An 18,912-nucleotide genomic window follows, 5' to 3' on the forward strand; every position below is an offset into this window, starting at 1 on the left:
TTAGAAAACAGTATGTCTTTAGTATGTTATTTGAAGACTCGGGATTATGGCTAGCTGTGTGCCAACTTTCCATCCTTCAGACCTATAAAATCTGAATCAGTTTGGTTTTTTACTGCATTGTGGTGAAATTAAACAATTCACATAAATTTTTATTGTGGCTGATAGTCAAGGCTCTAGGAAGCTCTGAGATTTAATCTTGAGTTTTCCTTGCCACTTCAACCCAATTAAAAAATTTTTTTTTTTCTTTTTCTTTTGAGACGGGGTCTCACTCTGTCACCCGGGCTGGAGTGCAGTTGTGTGATCTTGGCTCACTGCAGTCTCCGCCTCTAGAGTTCAAGCAATTCTCATGCCTCCACCTCCTGAGTAGCTGGGAGTATAGGTGTTCACCACTACACCCAGCTAATTTTTTTTTTCTGTATTTTTAGTAAAGATGGGCTTTTGCTATGTTGGCCAGGCTGATCTCAAGCTCCTGGCCTCAAGTGATCCGCCCACCTCTGCCTCCCAAAGTGCTGGGATTACAGGCGTGAACCACTGTGCCTGGCCTCAATTTAAAAATTATTAATCCACTCTTAACTTCCATTTAGTGGAACTCCAATTTTATTCTTTCTTTTCTCATTGTCTTCCCTACATTTCTGTTCACATGAAATTTCTAATTGTACAGACTTTGCAGTGTGCAGAGTCAAATCTCTCATATCCTGTAACTTTGCTGCATGCTCCTTAGTTTTTTCTTTATCTACACATATATCTGGTCAGTTTGATACATTTTTTTCTTTTTTGGTCTTCTCAGCTATTAGAAACAGACATGTTTGTAGAAAAGAACTCTTACCATTTGTTGCGTCTGGGACTTGTGTGGAGGGTTTTTGTTTTGGTCTGGGTTGGTTTGCTTTTTCTATTTAAAACTTAGATTGTGTGTACACCCACACAGAAACTTCATCCAGCTACCAGGCTATTCCTTTGTAGAGTGGTGATCAAACAAAAATATGCATCTGGTGATTCTTTCATTTGATTTGAAAACTGATTTCAGAAACACATTATTTTCTTCTTTTACCTGGCAGATTATTTCTGAGCAAGCTGAAGAATGGAGGACTCAGCCTACTTATAAAGTACCAAACTGTTAAGGTCACAGAAAATTATTTCTGGAAGGTACATTAGAAGTTGTTCTAGCCCAACTCTCTTATTTTACAGATGGAAAACCTGGGGCCCAAAAGAGGGCCTGGCTTAGCCTAAGCTGTACAATGACTTAGTGGTAGAAAATGAACTAGAACATTTCTGAATTCCCAGTCCAGCATTCTTTCCACTAAGCTGATGGCTGTCTTCCAGGTGCAGGAGTGCAGGTTGGTACTTATTACAGGACTCTGCTGGCTGCAGTGGCTCTTTCTGGTGCTGTGGAAAGTACCCTCTTCTTTGCTCAGTCTGATTCCATTTATGGGAAGCAGTGGTGGAGTTTGTACATAAGATTTACAGTAAAGTCTGCTGCTGTCCCAAGTTTCTTAACCTTTTTAAAGTCATCTTCCTTCCATTTCTGATTTCCTAGTACATCTATTATTTATTTCAATGTAAACAAATTCCAAATAATGGAAATTTGTCTCTACTACAGCTTATTCAAGTTTGAACTTTGAGTATATATGCTAATGTTTACAGACTGGTGAGATCAGGAAAATTGAACTGCTGTTATTTCAAAAGTGAAAGCTACTCTGGGACTTCTAGGTCAGGGTGGCAGAGTGAATACTCCTGAATCTTATTCCTCTCATTCAAAAACAGAGAAATTATGCATAAATATTTTTAAAGGTTTTAAAAAATACATAGTTATTCTTAAAAATAAGAAAGAAAAGTCTCTTTGGGCCAGTAATAGAAAAGCCACTATGATGGCAGGGGATCGGGGGGTGCTATGAATGGATATGGGCAATTGGGACCAGGTTTTTTTGCAATGATCCTGTCTGTGCATGAACCCAGGACCCAAGAGCACAATACAAATAGGAGCTGGGCTAATCTAACTTATCCCAGCAGTGTCACAGCCAGGAATAAGCTGCTTGTTCCTGACCAGAAGTAAAGAAGAATTGGCAGTCACAAGCAAGCGCAGGAAACCACTCAAGATAGGACTTGGACCCAAAATACTTTTGGGCTAAAAATTCAGAACTGGGCTACCTAGGAGGAAAGAAGACCCAGAGCTACCAACTTAAGGTCTGGTTCAAGGTTGGCACATTATCAGATTTAAGCTGAGGCAACTTAAAACTGCCCTATAGATACAGGTACTTACATTTTTTAGTTATCATAAAAATTGAGCCCCCAAAACATTACAAAGAACCCAGTAAAACCTAAGATCATGAAAAAGCAGTCAAGAGAACCCAACAAATGAGAGAATTTATACCTGAGAAAAGAAGAACAATCTGGTGAGAGTTTAAAAATAAGTTAAAATTCTCAATATATGTACAGAAGAAGTTAGATTTTACAGAATGAAGAACAGATAATGAAACAAGAAGAGAAAGCTGTGAGAAAGAAGCGTTTAGACATCTTGAAGTGAAAAATATTATAAATACAATATTGAAGTAAAAGAACAGTTAGACTGCACATACTTTCTATAGCTTAAGAGAAAATTACAGAATTAGGAAATAGAACTGAGAAAATCTTTCAGAATGCAGTTTAGAGAGAGTTAGAAGAAAATGAAAGAGAAAGATGGACATGAAAGATGACCTGAGGAGCTCTAACATACATCTGCTAGGAGTTGCAAAGGAGAAAAAAGAATGAATAAAAAAGTGGCAATAATAATAACAATAACTGCAGCTAAGAATTTTTTCAGAAATGAAGCTGAGTCTTCAAAATAGAAAATGCTGCCATATGTAACACAGGATAGATAAATCCACAACTACATACATGATAATAAAATCGTAGGAAATTAATGATAAAGAGAAAATCTGAAATTCTGAATACAAGTATAAGAAAAAATTCTGAATAATGGAATGGTAGTCAAATTGGCAGTAGGCTTTGGCAACAGTAGATACCAGAAAACTGACTAGTATCTTCAAAGTGCTGTAGAAAAATAACTGTGAGCTTCCAGTTTCATACAGTGGTTTATATACAGAGTGGGAGCAAAATAAACACATCTTCAGATACACGAAGCTAAGTTTTCAACTCACAAACTCTTGGTGATAAAAGAACTAAAGGATGTTCTTCAGTAAAGAGAAAAATAAATGCAGAAAGAAGTGGAATACTAAAGCAAAGAGTGTTAAAATATGAGCTAAAGCTAATATGCTTCAAAAGCTAGAACTAAATCTTAGCAATAATAATATGGTATTAAAGATGTAAATGTGTGCTAAAGTCCTTGTTTTGAGTAGAAAAGATACAGATGAATGTTATAGACTTTTAAAAAATATATATTTAAATAAGTATGTTAAATATAAGGGTATCCAGTATAGTAATAGAAATATAGAAATAGAAGGTACAAGTCCTTAATCAGTAGGGGAAAGAGAAAAGATAGGTAATATTTTAAATGCTTTCACTCCATTCAATAGAGGGCAGGAAAGAAGATAAAAAGAAGCAAAGGAAAAACATGGAAATAGGAAATACAAAATAAAATATGTAAGTAGTCATAATATAAATTAATCTACAAAGCCAGAGAGATAGTCAGATTATCCTTCCATATGCTGTTTTCAAAGTAACACTGAAAGATAAAAAAATACAAGTATAAGACAGGAAAAATTTTCTCTTGGTTACCACCAAGTGAAAGCTGGCAGCATGAACATCATTTGAAACATGAACATGTTTTTGCTTTAAAACAGCAAATGACAGAAATATATGTCTCACTTATAAATAAGGAACAATCCATGAAGATGATATAAAATGACTCTAGATACTGAAAATATACTCTCAAAATATATAAAACAAAACCGACAGAATTATCAAGAAATAGCATATCCACAGTCAGTGTTGCAGATTTTAACACACCTCTCTTAGAAACCAGTATATCAAAAAGTCAAAAATACTCAAGAACATAAAGAATTTGAACAGCATAATTAACCAGCTTAATCTAACAGATATATAGCACACATAGGGCGTGTGTATTGTGACCATGCTAAATGAAAAGTCAACATTCACTCATTCATTCAACAAATACTTATTTGTCCAATATTTGCCAGATATTGTTCGAGGTTCTTGGAATCCTTTAGTCAACAGTATAGACAATGATCCTGACCTGTTGAAGTGTACATTCTAGCAGGGAGTAAGATGAAAAGGCAGACAATAAACAACAAACATAATAAAGTATGTGTTAGACACTGATGCAATTTGGAAAAAAAACTAGAAAGGAGAATTGAATAAAGAGGATTGGATGGAGAAAGTACAGGTTGTAATATAAACAGTGGGTCTGAGTATATCTTATTGACAGGTTGAGATTTAAAGAAGCAGAAGGAGTTAGCCACAAAGATATCTGAAGGAAGAACATTTCTTCAGATGTAGTGTAGTGAGGTCCTCTAGCAAGAGGGTACAGCTAGAGCAAAGGCCATATGGTGGGAAAGTACTGACACATGAAATAAATGACAGGTGAGAGTAGCAGGAAAGAGAATCAGATCATCTGAATGCAGAGCGTCATAGGCCTTTGTCATTTACTATGCACAAAATGAGGCGCCATTGCAGGATTTTGAGTAGAGGAGTGATGTGATCTGACTTAAGTTGTTTTTTTGTTTGTTTTTTGTTTTGTTTTGTTTTTTTGAGACGGAGTCTTGCTCTGTTGCCCAGGATGGAGTGCATTGGCGCCATCTCGGCTCACTGCAAGCTCCATCTCCCAGGTTCAAGCGATTCTCCTGCCTCAGCCTCCTGAGTAGCTAGGATTACAGGTGCATGCCACCACGCCCAGCTAATTTTTGTATTTTTAGTAGAGATGGGGTTTTACCATGTTGGTCAGGCTGGTCTCAAACTCCTGACCTTGTGATCTGCCTGCCTCGGCCTCCCAAAGTGCTGGGATTACAGATGTGAGCTACCGTGCCCGGCCAATCTGACTTAAGTTTTAAAAGAATCATTCAAGCTACTCTGTTGAGATTAGACTTCAGACAAAGGTAGCAGCTGAGCAGCTATTTCAGTAATCCAGGCAAGAAATGATGACAGGGGCTTGGATCACATGGTAGCAATACAGTTGTTGAAAGTTGGTTAGATTCTGGATATATTTGAAGGTAGAGCCAACATTTCCTGGAAGGGCTTGTGGGATGTGACAGAAAGAGGGAGGAATTTTAGATGATTCCAAGGTTTTTGACCTAAGCAACTGATAGGATAGAGTTGCCATCAACTGACATGGGGTAGGCTACAAATGAAGCAGGTTGGGGAAGAAAACTAGGAAGCCAATCTTATTTATTTATTTATTTTTCCCATAGATTTTGGGGGAACAGGTAATCTTTGGTTATATGAATAAGTTCTTTAGTGTGATTTCTGAGATTTTGGTGCACCCATCATCCAAGCAGTGTACACTGTACCCAATGTGTAGTCTTTTATTCCTTACCCCCCTCTCACGCTTTCCCCTGAGTCCCCAAAGTCCATTGTATCACTGACACCTTTTCGTCCTCATAGCTTAGCTCCCTCTTATGAGTGAGAACATATAATGTTTGGTTTTCAGTTCCTGAGTTACTTCACTTAGAATAATGGTCTCCAATTCCATCCAAGTCACTGCAAATGCCATTATTTCATTCCTTTTTATGGCTGAGTAGTATTCCATGTTGTGTGTATATATATACCACAATTTCTTTATCCACTCATTGATTGATGGGCATTTGGGCTGGTTCCAAATTTTTGCAATTGCAGATTGTGCTGCTGTAAACATGCATGTGCAAGTATTTTTTTCGTATAATGACTTCTTAGGAATCCAATTTTATTTTTTTATTTTTTGGACAGAGTCTCACTCTGTCACCCAGGTTGGAGTGCGGTGACGCGATCTTGGCTCACTGCAACCTCTGCCTCCTGGGTTCAAAGTGATTCTCCTGCCTCAGCCTCCCGAATAGCTGGGATTACAGGTGTCCGCCACCACACCCGGCTAATTTTTGTATTTTTAGTGGAGTCGGGGTTTCACTGTGTTAGCCAGGCTGGTCTAGAACTCCTGACCTCAAGTGATCTTCCCACCTTGGCTTCCCAAAGTGCTGGGATTACAGGTGTGAGCCACCACACGTGGCCAGAATCCAGTTTTAGATATGTTGGTTTGAGATACCTGTTAGATTTCCAACTGGAAATTTTGGCAGTTTGGTTATACAGATCTGCCAAAATGCTGTGGAGTATTTAGATGATATTTAAAGCAATGAGACTGTATCAAATAACAGAAAGAAAATATAGAAAAGGGAAGAGGGCCCAAGAAGTATCTGGTGTCCTTTCCAGTGTGAGTGAAAAAAAAAAATGTATCATGAAAGAGGTAGTTGTCAACAGTGTTAAATGTTGCTGATAGGGTCATATAAGATGAAGACTAAGAACTGACCATTGATTTTGATAACATTATGACCTTGATAAGAGTGGTTTTGTTCGAATAGTGGGACAGAAAGCCTGACTGAAGTAATTTTAAGCCACATTGAGAAGAGAGGAATTGAAAACATTGAGAAAAGCTTTTTTTTTTTTTCTTTTTTTTTTTTTAGAGAGAAGTTTTTCAGGAAGGGGGGTTAGCAAGGAAATGGAGTGGCAGCTTTTGGGGAGAGTCAAGAAAAGGATGTTTTTTGTTTTGAGATGGAGTCTTGCTCTGTTGCCCAGGCTGGAGTGGTGCAATGGTGCAATCTTGGCTTACTGCAGCCTACGCCTCCCAGGTTCAAGTGATTCTCCTGCCTCAGCCTCCCGAGTAGCTGTGATTACAGGTGCCCGCCACCACACCTTGCTAATATTTTGTAGTTTTAGTAGAGACGGGCTTTCGCCATGTTGACCAGGCTGGTCTCAAACTCCTGGCCTCAGGTGATCCGCCTTGGCCTCCCAGAGTGCTGGGATCACAGGCGTGAGCTGCCACACCCATCCAGAAAAGGGTGTTTTTTAAGCTACATGTTTGCTTGTGAGAATGATCCCAATGGAGAACAACAACAACAACAAAAAGATGATGTGGGAGGAAGAATGGAGAACTGCTGTAATGAGGTCCTTGAGTAGGGTCTAGGGTACAAGTTGAAGGATTTGACTTCAAATAGAAGCATGTTAGATTCATCAATGGTAACAAGTGAGGAGATGATAAATGGTGGTTAAATGTGGTAATAGTTTGTGGAAGTTCTTTTCTGATTGCTTCAGTTTTCTTAGTGAAATAGAAAGCAAGACCAGCAGCCAAGAAAGAACGTGAGGAAGGAGGTGTTGGGTGTTTGAGTTAAAAGGGAAAGGGGTAAAGTATTTATCTAGGAAAGTAAATGGACTAGGGAAGTATCTGTGTGTGCATTATAGTCCACTAAAGGTTCAAAGTAATGAATTTAAATTGAGACCAATGAGCATGGTTGTATGTTTTTTTCCAGCCACATTTAGTTGCACAGGTGCGGGTGTGGAGTAGGCAGAAAATTGGATTTAAACAAGGTTATAGTTTTGCCAAGCACTATGAAGGGAGAGAGGGGAGAGTGATGATAATAATGATAAATCATGGAATGTAAGCTCGATAAAGAGGAGAGTGAAGGGACATCAAGAGCATGAGAGACAGTGGAGATTTCATGAGGTTGAACAATGAACAATAGTTCAGGATCACCCTAGTAGAAAGAATAAGCTGGAAAGATACGATGTGGAGATACAGAATTGAGATTATGGAGGGGTTATAGTTTTTTGTAATGGCAACAAAAAGTTAGCTGAAGAAGAAAAGAATACTTCTGAAAAGTATAAACTTCCTTGTAGATACTGCATGGGTAAGGAGGTAATTATAATGAGAATTACAAAATAGTTAGAGCTGAACAACAATGAAATTACTTCACATTAGATCTTGTAGAGTAGCTAAAGAGAGAAAACTGTAACCTTAAATACATGTTTAAGGTTAAAAAATTAGAAAAAGTGAAAATAAATGAGCTAAGCTTTCAACTCAAGAAGTTGAAAACAGAGTAAGCCCAAAGTAAGTAGAAGGAATGAAATAAAATAAAGATAAAAGCAGAAATTAATGAACAGAAAACAGAATAGCAGTAGAAATAGTGTTAATACCAGAAGCTGATTCTTTGAAAAGATAGAAAATTCAATAAGCCTTTTTATTTTCCAATGTCCACCTTGACTGCAGTGTTCTAGGACTTCTCAAAGGCATCTTACATGCTAGTCTGGGGCCTGGGATGCAAACAAAAACAGATCAGAGGCAGTTATTTTGGCAACAATAGGGAGAGAGAAGAGTCTTCAAGGTCCCTTAAAGCAACACATAGAACAATTGAGCTGCATACATAACCAGGGCATCTACTTTTTCCAGCTGCTGCACACTGAGCCCCATCAGGGAGGGTAAAATGCAGTAAACCTTTCAAAAGCTGATCTAGAGAAAAACTATAGGTGAAAACAAATAGTATTTGGAAGAGAAATAGGGACAAAATTAAGATAAACATATTTAAAATATAAGATTATTTTGAGCAACTTTATGACAATAAGCTTGAAAACTTAGTTTAAGTGGACACTCTTCTGGGAAAATATAAAATATCAAAATGACTTAGGAAGAAATGGCAAAACAAAGAAGTCCCGTAACCTTTAAAGAAATTTAATCATACTTAACCACCACCTCCCCAACCTCCTGCCCAAAACACCAAGCCTAGAGTAATTTGGGGGATGAATTCTATCAAACTGTCAAGGAACAAGTATAATAATACTTGCCTTACATAAACTGTTTCAGAAAATAAAAAGAAGGAAGCGAGAATCTACACTAGATTGTTTTGCCTCCAACTTGTTTAGTAACAACAAAAAGAGGCTAAGAATTGAGGCAAAGAAAAACCAAAATAAAGTCTGAATACTTCCCACAAACAGCACTAGAAAAAGACATCTGATTATACCTAGGTGGTACAGGTTTTAAGGATTGGACCTTTGACTTTGTGCTCATCCTTCTGTGTGGACCAGCTTTGCTCTTTGATTCCAGTTATTTTAATTCCAGTTGTAATGATGGGTTTTGGACACTCTCAGTCGGTATTATGACCAACAGCATGTATCCGTAAGATAGCTAGGTCACTAATAGTCTGTGGCATGGAAAAAAATTTGTTTTGTTTTAATATGGTGCTAACTAAGCATATAGAGATTGACTCTGTAACTTTAACTCCAGTAACACACTGTTATCACCACGCAAATTGACCAGCCTAGTTAGTAACATCATATGCAATATCATACAAACTACGTAGAACCATGCCTGGGGCACTCATCTGTTAGCTCTTACATGCCCTTTGTGCTCAAAGAGAACAATTTGTGGTTGTTGTATGCCAGTCAATTCAGTCATCATGGAGCTTAGTTGTTTACTGTATTGCATGCTAAGCAGTAGACTCTAGGAATCTAATAAATTTGATTCTCACATTGGTCCTGTTTGCCACAAACATTGCCATGCCTCAAGAACCTCACAAGTTTGTTTTTCTTAGAACAGTGCATATGTAGTTCTCATACTCTGCAAGTGTTTGCCTCAGCATAATTGTGTTTATGTGGAATTGCACTGGCATTGCAATGTGAGAATGACAGAGTTGACAGGACCACTAACATGTACCCTGGGAATTGTTTCCCCCATCCCCATAGCTGGCTGAAGAAACTTTATTTCTGAGTTATTATGTAGGGACTGAAAGGTTTTTTTTTTGTTTTTGTTTTTGTTTTTTTTTACATATATACACAGATTGTTTTTTACCTACAATGAGCAAAAATAATCTGGACAAAAAAATAATGCTCTCCCTGTTTTTTCTTTCAAATGTATACATATATTTGAAATCTTAGGCATAGGGAAAAACTTTTATGTCATCTTCAGAGCTACAGCCATATTTTTTAGCTAGAACCAACTCTTAAATCTCTCCCGACAGAACCTTAAGGAAGGGGACAAAGTGATCTCCAATGGAAATGTGAAAGGCATAAAAAGGAAAAGTTAGATATCTGGAGGATTCAGATGACACAAAGAAAATAAGTTGAAGATAAAGGAAATGAGAGGGTAAACCTAGTAGTACAATGGCATCTTTCATCTTCAACTATTTTAAAGTATTTTTACCTGAGAACGTGAAGATAAAGTGTATATAGATGGCACGTAGACAACTAATAAATGAATAAACATTTACATTGCATATGTCAGAAGTATCTGCAAAGCAAAAAGGGTGCATGCCAGTTCATTGTTGATAAGGAAGAGTCTTTCATATACTCTTCCAGGATCTATGTTATTATTGAAAAAAAAAAAAAAAGAAGTTAGATGTTAAGTTTGGGAGTATTTTTAGTAAACCCAGATGAAGAGAGCAGCCTTTATTTCTGGATCAACTGCAAATTCACAACTATGAAGACTAGTTGAAATATTTAAATTTCTAGATGAATCATACATAGATTGCTTTTCGTAGGGCCTTTTCCTTAAAACTCTGCAGTTAACTAAAAGTGGGAAATAATTATTTTTCTTAACACCTGATGGACCATTCAGCCTCATTTATAGGCTCTAAAGAAAACTAACAAAATATTTTAAAAAATCAAGTTGATGACAATTTAAAAACTTACATAGAATTTCTGAACCTTCTTTAAGTTATAGGTTACATTTTCAAGAAACTGATCGTTATCAAACTTGTGAGCTGAAATTTAAGTGTGTTGCTACCAGGCAGTAATACGTTTTGCCTGGCATACAGATTATAAGCACAACTTAACTATCACAGATATCTTTGAGAACTAAATGGATTTATTTATTTTAAAAGTTATTCTAAAATTAATTCTGTACCTTTCTCCTCTGTACCTTTCTCCTTAAGTTTTCAAAACACCTTTCTTGACATATAATTTCTGTACAACTGCACATATTTAAATTGTAATATCTGATGAATTTGAGGAAACTATCTCCCTAATTCTCCCTAACTCTTAACTGTACTAAATATTTATAGTCTTAACAAAAATTTCAGATAAATCATATGCTTTAAAGCTACTTATTCAGTGTTTAACTGACACTATATAGAGCCCTTTTGCTACTTTTAAGCTAATCAAAAAAGATATAATATACCCTGTTAGTGCTTCTGATCAGTTCAAGCATTTTTTTTTTTCTCATCAAGGTGCTGTGAGCATTTGGCAGGGTAATTCTTCACTATGTGGGTCTGTTTCTAGAATAGCAAGCATTCAGCATCCCTGAGCCTGGCATTTGAAATGCCAGTAGCACCCTCCAATCATTGTGACAATCAGTGTCCCCACATATTTTCAAAAGCTCTTGTGGTAAGTGTTGCCCCTTCCCCTCCCCGTGACAAACCTGCCCCTTATACCTTTACTGATGTTTCTAGCCTATGTGGCCTACAAAAAAAGTGTGAAGGGGGAAAAGCTATGTTGTTCACATTAAAAAGAGATAGGTTTTCATTTCTGCTTTTTGTAAGCCATTGCTAAAGTTAAATTTAATTGCAAAATACTAAACTCTTGAACCAATTCTAGGACAGGTTTGCAGAATGATTTTCTTAAAGGACCTTTATAATCTATTACCCTGAAATGAATTTCTGAGACTTAACATTCGTAACACTAGGGCATGATTAAATATATGGGAGCAAGATTGGGAACATTTTGTCAGCTAGTAAAGTTATTGTGAGCTCCATGCTGTGCAACTTGTATATCCTGTCTTGCTTTGCCTCTCTGTTGCTGCCTTGTACTCCAAAATAGCACCATCTCTTCTCCCTACTCCCAGCAACCCACTAGACTATGCAGAAGCCATTAGTGGATATATTTTGTTGGTCTGATTTTTAGCTTTTTTGCTTGTTCACAAAGAACATGTGTCAAAGGCCCTTTATTACACTGAAAGAATTGCGTGACTTTTCTCTGTTCTGCATTTTCTTACATGTGGAATTAAGGCTGACTCTTTACTCTAAAATGATTCATTTTGTGGTAAAGTCCCTAATATGTCTCCCTCACTCAGGAGCATCTGTGCAGGAGTCAACATTAAATGTGAGTTATCATTATTGATCTTCTCCATCACCCCCAAAAGGGGAGGATTTTCACATCGCATAAATTAAACAGGATTGAGATGGAAAAATCAGAAGAAGAAGAAGTGACAAAGAACCTCCTGTTTCCTTTAGAACTTATTTCCTGCCCCCAAGTAATATTTTTGGCCCTTCTAAGTACCCAGTAATAAAACGTCGCTATAAAAGCATAGAATAGTAAATGAAGCTGTTATGAATTCTAGACTATCTTCCAACTTGGCTGTGTGCTGTTGATGGTCTCCTTTAAAAATAAATTGTTTGTTTAGTATGAGATCAAAAATTATTTATATAAAAATATATGGAAGAGTAGGGCTTGATATTTTTTAACAGTATGGAGATCTTTTTAGTGATACAAATTTTGAGATTTCCTATAATCTCTTTGAAGACACGAATCATGTCTTACAGTACTTTGTATATCCCTATCCCTAATAGTACCTTGCATAGAATAAGAACTTAATAGTTGTTAGTTGATGGAAGAAAAGTATCAGTTGAAAATAAAAATAAAAATATTTTCTTTGGATCTTATATTCATAAATGGACTGAAAATGACTGCCCTGTTCCAAAAGGAGGAACAGAGATCTTAAACTATACTTCTTAACTGGTAATACTTGACTCATCACCTTCTTGCCTAAATCTGAACTAAAATACTGTATATTGTATCTACTCAGAAGTTTATAAACTAACCTACCAAAAAATTGATTTGAGGACGAGGCAGAGACATTTTTGAAAGACTAGGTAATTTCCACCTAACTGTTGATCTCCTTTGGGCCTTAAAGGACCTTGTGGTTTTGTTACTAGAAAAGCAGTCCGATCTGGACCCCAAGAAAGGGTTCTTAGATCTCACGCAAGAAAGAATTCAGGGCAAGTCCATACAGTAAAGTGAAAGCAAGTTTATTTAGAAAGTGAAGGAATAAAAGAATGACTCCATAGACAGAGCAGCCCCAAGGGCTGCTGGTTTTATGGTTACTTCTTGATTATATGCTAAACAAGGGGTGGATTATTCATGAGTTTTCCAGGAAAGAGGTGGGCAATTTCCAGAACTGAGGGTTCCTCCCCATTTTAGACCATATAGGGCAACTTCCTGATGTTGCCATGACATTTGTAAACTGTCGTGTCACTGGTGGGAGTGTCTCTTAGCATGCTGATATTTTATAATTAGTGTATAATGAGTCATGAGGACGAACAGAGGTCACTCTCATTGCCATCTTGGTTTTGGTGGGTTTTGGCTGGCTTCTTTATCGCAGCCTGTTTTATCAGCAAGGTCTTTGTGACCTGTATCTTGTGCTGACCTCCTGTCTCATCCTGTGACTGAGAATGCCTTAACCTCTTGGGAATGCAGCCCAGTAGGTCTCAGCCTTATTTACCCAGCCCGTATTCAAGATAGAGTGCCTCTGGTTCAAACACCTTTGACAAAAACATACCAATACCTTAGTCTACTATGTGTAATGCATTCCAACATTTGCTATTCTGTTTATTCACTTTTTATTGATCTGGTTGTGGCCACTAAATTGATTCATAACCTAATAATGAGCCTCATTGTACCTTCAGCCCAAGTGACTGCCTGTTTCCGTTAGCAAACCCAATTCTTTGGTGAACATATAATCTTAGAGTCCTCTGTAAAGAGAGACTATCTTTCAAAGTTGTCAGGAATTAAAAAAGAAAGTCACTTCCTTGTGCCCCTTTCTCACTGTAGTGAGATGAAAAAACTCTGTTTTTTTTTTAAACACTGTTAAACTTACAGAAATATTTCAAGAATAAAGAATTGCTGTATACCCTTTACCTAGAGATCACATTCACTTTTTTTTTTTTTTTTTTTTTTTTTTGAGCTGGAGTTTCACTCATGTTGCCCAGGCTGGAGTGCAATGTTGCGATCTCGGCTCACCCCAACCTCTGCTTCCCAGGTTCAAATGATTCTCCTGCCTCAGCCTCCCGAGTAGCTGGGATTACAGGCATGTGCCACCACACCCGGCTAATTTTGTATTTTCAGTAGACATGGGGTTTCTCCATGTTGGTCAGGCTGGTCTTGAACTCCCGACCTCAGGTGATCTGCCCGCCTCAGCCTCCCAAAGTGCTGGGATTACAGGCGTGACACATTCACATTTTTACCAGTTGTCCTAATGAAGTCCATGGGAGCAGAAAGATCCAATCCAGGATCACTATACCCAATTTTTGTGTATCTCTAGTTAGACTTTCCTTGACTTATATGACCTTGGTTTTTTGGGGGTATTTTGTTTTGTTTTGTTTTGTTTTGTTTTGTTTTGTTGTTGCCCAGGCTGAAGTGCAGTAGTATGATCTTAGCTCACTGTATCCTCTGCCTCTTGTGCTCAGAGGATCCTCCCACCTCAGCATCTTGAGTAGCTGGGACTACGGTGGGCACCACCATGCCTTGCTAATTTTGGGTTTTTTTGTTTTGTTTTGTTTTGTTTTGTTTTTTTGGTAGAGACGGGGTTTTATGACATTGCCCAGGCTAATCTTGAACCCCTGGGCTCAAGAGATTTGCTCTCCTTAGCCTCCCAAAGTGCTGAGATTACGGGCATGAGCCATCACGCCTGGCTGACCTTGATATTTTTGAAGATAGCAGGCCAGTCATATATGTCCCTCAGTTTAGGTTTATTCAGTGTTTTCTCATGATTAGACCCAGCTTATGCATTTTTGGCCACAGTGTCATAGAAGCGATACTGTACTCTTCTCATTTCATGCTGTCAGTTTGTCATGTTACTAGTGGTCTTGTCTTTGAGGACTGGATTGAGATGACGTCTGCCAGGTTTCTCCATGGTAAAGTTAGTTTTTCCTCTTTTGTGATTAATAAATGTTGTCTGATGTGGTACTTTGAGATTGTGTAAACTCCAGTTTCTCCTCTACTTTTACCCACTACTTTGAACATCCATTAATACTTCTTTCTTGGATTGATTTTACAGTCATGGTTGCCAAATGGTAATTTTTCTAACTTTATTACCCCTTCTACATTTATTAGTAGGCATTCTATTGTAAGCAAGAAGCTTTTCTCCTCCTATTTATTTTTTTCATTCATTTATTTATATCAATGTCTACTCATGGGTTCCTAGTCAGTGGGTTATAATTCATTGCTATCATTATTTATTATGATGCTCTTATTATCCCAGGTTTGGCTTTTTAAGCAGGCTTCTGTGTCCTTGTGTCATATCATTTAAGTGTTGTTTGAGGACTTTCTCACCTTCTAGCACAAGAGATCAGGCTCATTTTCTTTCCTTACCCCAGCTCTGGAATTAGCCATTTCTCCAGGGAGCCCTGTTCCTCTTAGTACAAAGTGGCATTTAGAAACAATGATCTGGGCACTAGGTACGCTAAATGCTGCTGGAGTGTTGCTCTTCCCAGGCCCCTTTCAGTGGACAGAGCTAGGAAAGACATACATATGGATGCATTTGCTTACATATACATGTACATTTACATCTTTATTTCTTTATCTATCTATATTGAAAATCATGAGTTCATACCAACATGGGGTTCTTTCTAGCTTTCCCTTTTTTTTTTTTTTTTTGTATTTATGTCTGCCTTCTCTAACAATGAGAAACCTAGTTGCCATTTTCAATATGTTTACTTATTTGCTCAATCCCTTGTGTAAAGCCAATCCCCTAACTAGACCGAAGTAGACCAGGCTACTACCTCACCACTGTACCCTCCTCTTATTGCCAGGGCTCTTTGCCTTCTAAGAAATAAGGAAAGCTGGGAAGAGGGAAGGAGGAAGATAGGTAGAGATAAGTTTTTTCTTAAAGCATTTGAAAAGGAGATTCTATCATCTTTTTCAGTAACCTTTTACATAATCACAAGGAAAATAAATGCATAGAATATAAAAACTGATATTTAAGCTCTTTTTTCAGATTTTCATTTGGATTCTTACATATATTTTATAAATGCACATGCATGTTAACCAAGTATTTTTTTGTGATAATGACCATGTATTGAGCATGACCGCATGCTAGGCACTGTGATGGATGATTATGTGTGTGTGTGTATGTGTGTGTGTGTGTGTGTGTGTGTGTATCCTAAACCATATAACAACTCTGTAAATAAGCATCCTTATCACTGTTTTGGGTGATGAACCAAGTAAGATTCAATGAGGCTGAAGAACTTGATCATATCAGTCAGTTAAGCAGGGGTTAGAATTTCAATCCAGGATATCTGACCTCAAATACACACCCTTCCCAAACCATGTGTACAGCACCATGGTATATTGCTAGCATTGGAAATCATCACTGGGGAGCATTTTATCAAACATCACCCTTAAACCATGCCATTTAGGTTTTTTTAATTTAAAAAAATAAAAAGAGGAAAAAGTAGAAATTACTCAACTGGTTCATTAATTTCTTCCTTTACTAACTTTTGGGAGAGTTGAGTCAATGAGAGTCGATGATTAGTATTCACATCATGAGACATTTTATTGACTTATTCACACATTAGATATGTCCCATCTAAAAAACTAACATATGCAGTTCCTCTATTTGATAGTTCTTATATTTGTTGGAAACTCTGTTGAGCCGACTACCTGGTGCTCTTAATTCCATTATAACAACGCCCTAAAGTTTATAGACTTTTTTCTTCCCTCTTTTTTACCTACAAGAAATAAAATAGATGAACTCAACATCCTATCCTGCTTATCTGGAATGAGTTATTTTCTAAACAAGTGGCTGTTTGCAAAGCTCATCCTGTAGAAGTCTGTGGTCAAGAATATTTCCATTCAGTTCTTATTTTTACAGGGGAATTAATATCTTTTCAGTCAGAAAGGAACAATAAATGCTTGTTGGCTGGGTTGAAAAAAATTAAATCTACAAAAAGACAAGTGAAGAAAGAAAGAGCTCACATTCAACTTTCTGGAGAATTTATCTCTGTTTCTCTGTATATCTGATGTGTTCCTGCAAGTGTCTCAAATACCCAGAATTTTACTGAAGGATTTGAATTGGTAGATCTTTTCAGATCTGTTTTTACTTTACTTTAATCAACCAAAGTTTATTCTTCAGGCAGTTGTGTTTTGCTCCCATTTTACTGGCTGTGTGTCTTTGGCCAAGACACTTAACCTTTCAGAACTTCACTTTCTTCATCTGTAAGATAGTAATATGGTCACGAGTCCCTTAACGACAGGGATACATTCTAAGAAATGAGTTTTTAGGCAATTTCGTCCCTGAGCAAACATCAAAGAGTGAATTTAACACAAACCTAGATGGTACAGCCTACTACACACCTAGGCTATATGGTATAGCCTATTGCTCCTAGGATACAAACCTGTACAGCATGTTACTATATTGAATATTGTAGAGCTGGAACATGATAAGTATTTGTGTGTCTAAACATAGAAAAGGTATTGTAAAAATACTGGGTAAAAGATTAGATTAAAAATGATATACCTGTATAGGGCATTTACCGTGAATGAATGCACCTTACAGGACTAGAAGTTGCTTTGGGTGAGTCAGTGAGCAAGTGGTGAGTGAAGGCCTAGGACATTACCGTACACTACTATAGACTATTAACACTGTGCACTTAGGCTACACTAAAGTTATAAAAATGTTTTTTCTTTCTTCAATAATAAATAACCTTAGCTTACTATAATTTTTTTACTTTATACGTTTTTAAAATTTAATGTTTTGACCCTTTTGCAGTAATACTTAGCTTAAAACAAACACATACAGCTGTACAAAAATATTTCTTTATATTCTTAATCTATAAGCTTTTATCTGTTTTTTTTTTTAACTTTAAAACTTTCTTGTTAAAAACTAAGACACACACACATTAGCTTAGGCCTACACAGGGTCAGAATCATCAGTATCACTGTCTTTCACTTCCACATCTTATCCCATTGGAAGGTCTTCCTGCATGGAGCTGTCACTTCCTATCATAACAATGCCTTCTTCGGAATATCTCCTGAAGAACCTGCCTGAGGCAATTTTACAGTTAACGTTTTTATATATAAGTAGAAGGAGAAGTACACTCTAAAATAATGATTTAAAATATAGTATGGTAAATACCAGGTTAGGCCGGGCATAGTGGCTCACGCCTGTAATCCCAGCACCTTGGGAGGCTGAGACGGGCCGATCACAAGGTCAGGAGATCGAGACCATCCTGGCTAACATGGTGAAACCCTGTCTCTACTAAAAATACAAAAAAAGAAAATTAGCCCGGCATGGTGGCAGGCGCTTGTTGTCCCAGCTACTTGGGAGGCTGAGGCAGGAGAATGGCGTGAACCCGGGAGGCGGAGCTTGCAGTGAGCAAAGATTGCGCCACTGCACTCCAGCCTGGGCGACAGACTGAGACTCCGTCTCAAAAAAAAAAAAAAGAAAAAGTAAATACCAGGTGATAAGAATTTTTCAGTTCCATTATAGTCTTATGCAACCACCATTGTATGTGTGGTTTGTTGACAGAAACATCGGTTATGCAGGGCATGACTGTACAGTGGTATACTTTTCAGTGTGGTTGAGAGGATCAGGTGAGATAATATATGTTAAAACACTTTATAAAATATAAAAGAGTTTGTCATTGTTACTACTTCCTAGAAGTGGACATAAGATAGAAGTAAAAAGAGACAAAGAGGCCAGTTTGTAGTAAAAGAGGTTTACATTCCCTCTCTAATTGCCAGTGAGTGTGAAATCACTGTATGAATCTTACAGAAACAGGTCAGGAAACTGTGTCTGATCAAGTTGTTCTTGCCATGCCTTTAAGGAATAATGTAAACCGGTGACTTTCATTCAACATATCAAAAAAGTGTCACTAACCTTTCCCTAGCCAGTCATGCTACCAAGCATGGGAATGTTAGTATTTAGGTTTACATCAGTATTTCTTTAAGTGAAAAGATCTAATGGAGACTCACCTTATCAGATGAGATTAGCTATATAAGCTATATCTATAATAT

The 18,912-nt window shown here is 37.3% G+C and overlaps 1 protein-coding gene and 1 non-coding gene across 16 annotated transcripts in view; one reads left to right on the plus strand and one right to left on the minus strand.

Annotated features, from left to right (window-relative positions):
- The window catches only part of PPP1R12B (protein phosphatase 1 regulatory subunit 12B), a 244,004-nt gene that overhangs the window by 170,330 nt on the left and 54,762 nt on the right, over nt 1–18,912 (plus strand). The gene's annotated exons all lie outside the window — the stretch shown is intronic.
- On the minus strand, nt 8,282–8,411 carry LOC124900426 (small nucleolar RNA SNORA70). Its single transcript, XR_007067371.1, has one exon. It is a non-coding gene; the product is annotated as a small nucleolar RNA SNORA70 (small nucleolar RNA).

This window comes from Homo sapiens, chromosome 1, assembly GCF_000001405.40.
Source record: "Homo sapiens chromosome 1, GRCh38.p14 Primary Assembly".
NCBI lineage: Eukaryota > Metazoa > Chordata > Mammalia > Primates > Hominidae > Homo > Homo sapiens.